At 31.9% G+C, this 7,166-nt stretch overlaps 1 long non-coding RNA gene across 1 annotated transcript in view; it reads left to right on the top strand.

The window, feature by feature from the left end:
• The first annotated feature begins 327 nt into the window (after positions 1 to 327).
• The window catches only part of LOC105375999 (uncharacterized), a 155,489-nt gene continuing 148,650 nt past the window's right edge, over positions 328 to 7,166 (top strand). Inside the window, exon 1 of the long non-coding RNA XR_001746566.2 lies at positions 328 to 410. This is a non-coding gene — a long non-coding RNA (uncharacterized LOC105375999). The remainder of the gene's footprint in view (positions 411 to 7,166) is intronic.

Here is a 7,166-nt window from a genome sequence, read left to right as displayed (position 1 = left end):
TTTATCTGTAGCAAGTGCTGCAATGGCTAGGCATGTTAGGAAGACAAAAAAAAAATAGCTTTGCACTGACATATGTTGCTTTGTGTGTGTGTGTGAATATATGTATATATGTGTGTATATATATACACACATATATACACACATATATACATATATACACACATATACACATATATACACATATATATATACACATATATACATATATACGCATATATACATCTATATACACACATATATACATCTATATACACATATATACATCTATATACACACACATATATACATATATATACACATATATATGTATATATGTATTTGTTTTAGGCATTGGCTGAGTAATTCAAAAGAGTGATTGAAGACTGGAAAGTACCTTAACAGATAACTTGGGAGATTTCTAATGCCTGGAGGTAAGTAATCACTATGAAACATGCTCCTTAGCATGCAGGATGCAGTTGTTTTCTTTTTTTAATTCCACCTGGCTGCAGGCTGCATGCCATGGTTACCGAAGGACATTTTTCTCCCCTTGACTGCCCAGTGGTGGAGAATGGGTCACTGGGTGGGGTATGCATATTATCTTCCACATTCTATTTTCAGATGTCTACCTATGAGGACCTTCATTCTATAGGAGTGCTTCTAGCAACAGGACACTGTTAATAATTGAGAATTGGTGCTATTAATGTCCAGACCATTCTTCTTGTTTTTTTTTTTTTTTTTGGATTACAGGCATGAGCCACCACGCCTGGTCCCAGCCCATTCCATTCTGATAAAATGTGAAGATGGTTCCCAATCTAGAATATTTGCTGTTCCAGCTTTTCTAAGAATATTTGTTACCACCATTCCTTCACTGAACTCCTCTAAAACAACCACAAAAGATTTCATGTTTTTTATTATTATGATTAATGGCAGATTTGTTAACAAAAATAGGGGATTTGGAGAGTGCTGGTTTGTGGGGCAAGTGTTTCTTTTAAAAACGATTTTTAAAGTTTTAAGTTGTTACAGAAGAATATTTAAAATGTGTATGAGGTATAAAGAATAATGACAGAATGAACGACTCTATACCAATTACATAGTCTAAGGAAAGGCATGTTACCATTATTTTTGAGGCTTCCTGAATGCCTCCCTCCATTTATCCCATGCCTTCTTTTTCCCTTGTTTTATTTTATTGTATTTTTAAATTGACACATAAAAATTGTATATATTTATTTTGTACAGCATGATGTTTTGAAATGTGTATACATTGTGGAATGGCTCATTCAAGCTAGTTAGCAAGTATATTACCTCACATACTTACCTTTTTTTACGGTGAGAACACTTAAAATCTACTGTCAGCAATTTTCATAATACAGTGATATGAACTATAGTCACCATGTTGTAAGATAGATCTCTTGAACTTATTCTACCTATCTAACTGAAATTTTGCATCCTTTGACCAATATCTCCCTAACTCCCTCCACCCTGGTAACCACGATTCTACTCTGTACTTCCATGATTTCAACTTTTTTAGACTCCACGTGTAAGTGAGCTCATGTGGTATTTGTGTTTCTATGTCTGTTTTATTTCATTTAACCTAACGTCCTCCAGGTTCATCCAACTGAATATAGGAATTATTCTTTAGTAGTTTGATTTTATTATTATTTTGCAGAGCAGCAAGTTAATCTTTTTCTGTAATTAATTAATTTTTACTGTGTAGAGTATGCCACAATTTATTTATCCATATGAATTGGTGGCCGTTTAGGTTGTTTTCAGTGTTTTGCTATTTTAAACAGCGTCGCAATGAACATACTTGTTTACAGCCCTAGAGATCATGTCCTGGAATTTCTCTGGGTTACAGACCCAGAAGTGCACAGAGTTTGTGCATACTTCATCTAGATTATACCTAATTAGTTGCTAGGGTGGTATTTACTAACTGACATTCCATATGTTGTTTATACATCGTGTTCAGACTTTTGTCAACCCTGGATCTGTCCGACTTTTTTCAATCTTTCCCAATCTTAAGAATCTTATACATTCTCATACATTGTGAAATATCATTTTAGTTATTCTTCCATCTTAAATATATATATATATATATATATATATATATATATATATATATATATATATACACACACTTTTTTTTTTTTTTTTTTAAACGGAGTCTCGCTCTGTCGCCCAGGCTGGACTGCAGTGGCACCATCTCGGCTCACTGCAAGCTCCGCCTCCCAGGTTCACGCCATTCTCCTGCCTCAGCCTCCTGAGTAGCTGGGACTACAGGCGCCCGCCACCATGCCCGGCTAATTTTTTTGTATTTTTAGTAGAGATGGGGTTTCACCGTGTTAGCTAGGATGGTCTCAATCTCCTGACCTCGTGATCCGCCCACCTCGGCCTACCAAAGTCTATATTTTTATAATAAATATTCCTGTCCGTATTTATTATTATTTTTTTTTTGAGACGGAGTCTCACTCTGTTGCACAGGCTGGAGTGCAGTGGCGCGATCTCAGCTCACTGCAACCTCTGCCTCCCAGGTTCAAGTGATTCTCCTGTCTCAGTCCTGTCCATATTTTTATATGCAGTACATATTTTTATTTTTTATTTATTTTTGAAGAGAAAACTACCCAAGTAAAAGAAGTAAATTTGCACTGGAACAATGTAAACAATTCAGAAATGGAAGAATAAAGTTTTCTTTTTTTCCACATCTTCCCTTCTTCTCCAACCTCACTCTACTTCTTTTTATTTGACCACTTGAAAATTTTAGAAAATTGATACATAAAAATTGTATATTTTTGAGTTACATATGATATTTTGATACATGCATACAATGTGTAATGATCAAGTCAGGATATTCAGGATATTCATCACCTCAAATATTTATCATTTCTTTGGGATGGGAGCATCCCAAATCTTCTCTGTTAGCTATTTTGAAATATGCAATACTTTGTTGTTAATTATTGTCACCCTACTCTGCTATCGAACACTAGTAATTATTCCTTCTATCTAACTGTATGTTTATAACCACTAACCAATCTCACTTTATCCCCTGTGCTCCCTGCACAGTAACCACCTGGTAACCATCATTCTACTCTCTACCTCCATGACATCAACTTTTTTAATTTAATAGCTTCTACCTATGAGTGGTAACATGTGATATTTCTGTGCTTGGCTTATTTCACTTAACATAATGTCCTCCAGATGTATCCATGTTGCTGCAAATGACAGAATTTCATTCTTTTTATGGCTAATATTCCATGGTGTATATATACTACATTTTCTTTATCCATTCCTCCACTGATGGACACTTACGTTAATTCTATATTTTGGCTATTGTGAATATTATTGTAATAAATATGAAAGTACAGAAATCTCTTTGATATACTATATATAAAAGTTTTGGGTATACATCCAGCAGTGAGATTGCTGAATCCTATGGTGGTTCTATTTTTACTTTTTCGAGAACCTCTGCACTGTTTTCCATAGTGGTTATACTAATTTACATCCCCACCAACAGTATACTGGTCTTCCTCTTTCTCTGCATTGCAGCCAGCGTTTGTTATTTTTTGGTCTTTTTCATAATATAATCGGCATTTTAACTGGGGTGAGATGATATTGCATTGTGCTTTTGATTTGCATTTCCCTGATGATTAGTAGTGTTTAGCATTTTTTTCATATACCTGTTGTTCTTTGTTTAAGTTATTTCGTGAAATGTCTATTCAGATAATTTGCCCACTTTTAAATCAAATTATTTGGCTTTTCCCTACTGGGTTGTTTGAGTTCTCTATACATTTTAGTTATTAATCACTTGCCAGATGATTCTCTTTTCACTCTGTTGACTGTTTCCTATACAAATGGTATAACCCATTTGTCTATTTTTCCTTTTGTTGCCTATGCTTTAGAGGTCTTACCAAAAAAAAAAAAAAAAAGTTTGCCTAGACTAATATCTTTAAACCTTTCACTAATGTATGCCTCTAGCAGTTTCACAGTTTCAGGGCTTAGATTGAAGTCTTTAATCCATTTTGATTTGATTTTTGTATATGGTGAGGTAGGGGCCTTATTTCATTCTTCTGCATATGGATATCCAGTTTTCCCAGCATCATTTATTGCAAAGATTGTCTTTCCCACAGTGTATGTTCTTGGCATATTGTAGGAAATGTGTTGAATGTATGTACATGGATTTATTTCTGGGTTCTCTATTTTGTTCCATTGGCCTATGCATCTGTTTTTATGACCGTGCCATGTTGTTTTGATTACTATAGCTTTGTAGCATATTTTGAAGTCAGGTAGTGTGATGCCTCCAGTTTCCCCCCTGGCCTCAGGATTGCCTTGGCAATTTGGTGTCTTTTGTGATTCCATAAATTTTATCATTGTTTTTTCTAGTTATGTGAAGAATGTCATTGGTATTTTTGATAGGAATTACATTTAATCTGTAGATCTCTTTGTGTTGTATAGACATTTTAACAATGTTAATTCTTCCAATCCATGAGCATGGGATATATTTCCATTTTTGGTGTCCTCTCCAATTTCTATCATCAGTGTTTTATAGTTTTCATTGTATAGGTTTTTCACTCTTTTGGTTAAAAAAGAAAGTATTCCTAGGTATTTTTTTTTGATAGTGCTGTAAATGGAATTACTTTATTGATTTATTTTTCAGATTGTTCAATGTTGATATATATAAATGCTACTGATTTTTATATGTTGATTTTGTATCTTGCAACTTTACTGAATTCATTTATCAGTTATAACAGCTTTTTGGTGGAGTCCTTAGATTTTTCTAAATGTAGAATAATATTGTCAGCAAACAAGAATAATTTGACTTCTTTCTTTCTTTCTAATTTGGAAGTTCTTTATTTCTTTCTCTTGCCTAATTGCTTGGCTAGACTTCCAGCACTACGTTGAATAACAGTAGTATAAGTGGGCATCCTTGTCTTGTTCCAGATATTAGAGAAAAGGTTTCCAATTTTTTTTCCATTCAATATGATGTTAGCTGTGTGTTTGTCACATATAGTTTTCATTATTTTGAAGTATATTCCTTCTTTACTGAGTTTTTTGAGAGTTTTTTTAATCATGAAAGGATGTTTAATTTTTTTAAATACTTCTCAGCATCTTTTGAAATGATTATATGGTTTTTATTATTGCTTCCATTAATGTAATATATTGTGTTTGTTCAATTGTGTATGTTGAACCATCCTTCCATCCCTGGAGTAAAGTCCATTGGATTGTGATGTATTATCTTTCTGGTGTGCTGTTGGATTTTCTTGCTAGTCTTTTATTGAGAATTTTTGCATCTATGTTCATCAGGGATATTGGCTTGCAGTTTTCTTTCTTTCTTTTTTTTTTGTTGTGTCCTTGTCTGGTATTGGTATTAGGGTAATTCTGGCCTTGTAGAATGAGTTTGGAAGTATTCACTTCTCTTCAATTTTTTGAATAGCTTGAGTAAAATTTTTATTTGTTTTATCATTTACATTATTTTAATTTGTGTTTCCTTGATTATATAAGATGAAAGCATTTACAGTATATATTTATTGGGCATTTTCATTTTCTTTTCTGTGATATATTTTACCTAAATTTTAATTTTGCTTCTTTAGGGAATTCTTTCTTTATTCTGAATACTAATCCTTTTTTAGTTATATTTGCTGCAAATGTCTTCTCCAATTGGCAGCTTATTAGCTTTTTTTTAAAAAAAAAAACTTAAAATGTGTTTTGGGAAAATTATTGTTCTGAATTTAAAATAGTCAAGCTTATTAATTTTTCCCTTATTAATGGTTTGCATTTTTAGAGTCTTCCTTAAGACTTTTTTTTTTTCTAACACAACAGTCTTAAAAATTCTCCTGCGTTTTCTTTCAGAAGTTTGGCCAACATACCTTTCATATTTAAGTATGCTTGGTGTTGATTTTTGAGTGCATAATGAGATCAGTATACAAGTTTTTTTATGTATATCCAATTGTCGGAAAACCTCTGAAAAGCTCATTACCTGTCTTCTAATCTACATTGCTCACTATCAAAAAAGAAGTTATTCTATATGTGTGATTGTGTTTCTGGACTATTCTTTTTCATTGATCAGTTTGTCTAAACGTATGTCAATCTCATACCGTCTTAATTATATAGTTAGTTTTGATATCTGGTAGTTCCTTGTCAGGAGTTTTTCTTTGCTTTTCCATATAAATTTTAGTGTTAACTTTTCAATGTCTACCCAAAAACATGGTATTTTTTATAAGAATTTCTTTGGATCTATAGATAAATTCTGGGAGAATTGACATCATTATAATATTCAGTTTTTAAATCAGTAAAAATAATATACCTCTCTATTTTAGTTCTTCTTTAATGTGATTTAATAAAGTTTTATAATCTTCTCCAGGAAGATCTTATACTTTCTTCATTAGAGTTATTAATATTTTTTCAAATACATTTTTATCTTATTGAAGTAGTATCTTTTAAAACACTACATTTGAAAACTTCTTGTAGATGAAATAGATTCAATTTCATTTTGTACATTGATTCTGATTGCAGCAAACTTGCTATACACTTTTACCATTGTGATTTCAATATGAAAATAACAGTTTGTTTTCTTTTTTCAACTCTTATATCTTTATTTACTATAATGCACTGTCTAGAACATTGTGTATAATAATGAACAACAATCTTTCTGATCATCACAGCGAAATTTTCACTATTTTGTCATTCAGGATAATGTGTACTTTCAGTATTTTGCAGATAATCGAATTATGAATCAATGTTGAATTGTATTCACTGCATTTTCTTTATCTACTGAGATAATGACTTACCACCTTTCAACTTTTAAAGTTTACAGTGAATTACATTAATTGATGTTCTAATGTTAAAATAACATTAATATTGCTGAGATAAAGTGAACTTGGTTAGAATATATTATCTTATTTACACACCGATGGATTTGGCTTGCTGATATTTTATTTAGAATTTTTTTATTTAGGTGCATGAATGGCATTTATCTAGAATTTTATTGCCTTCTATGGTTCTTGTCAAATTTCACTATCCACTTTATGTCAGCTTCATAAAATGAGTTAGGTAATATGCTTTCTTTTACCTACTCTGAGTTTTTTAAAGAATAATTAAAATTTCTTGATTGTTTTGTATAAGCCATGGGCAAATTTGTCTGATGCTGATGTTTTCTTTGTGGTAAGAGTTTAAGGTACTGTTTCAATTACTTTTAA

Source organism: Homo sapiens, chromosome 9 (assembly GCF_000001405.40).
Source record: "Homo sapiens chromosome 9, GRCh38.p14 Primary Assembly".
Classification (NCBI taxonomy): domain Eukaryota; kingdom Metazoa; phylum Chordata; class Mammalia; order Primates; family Hominidae; genus Homo; species Homo sapiens.
This window is presented reverse-complemented; position numbering and strand designations above follow the sequence as displayed.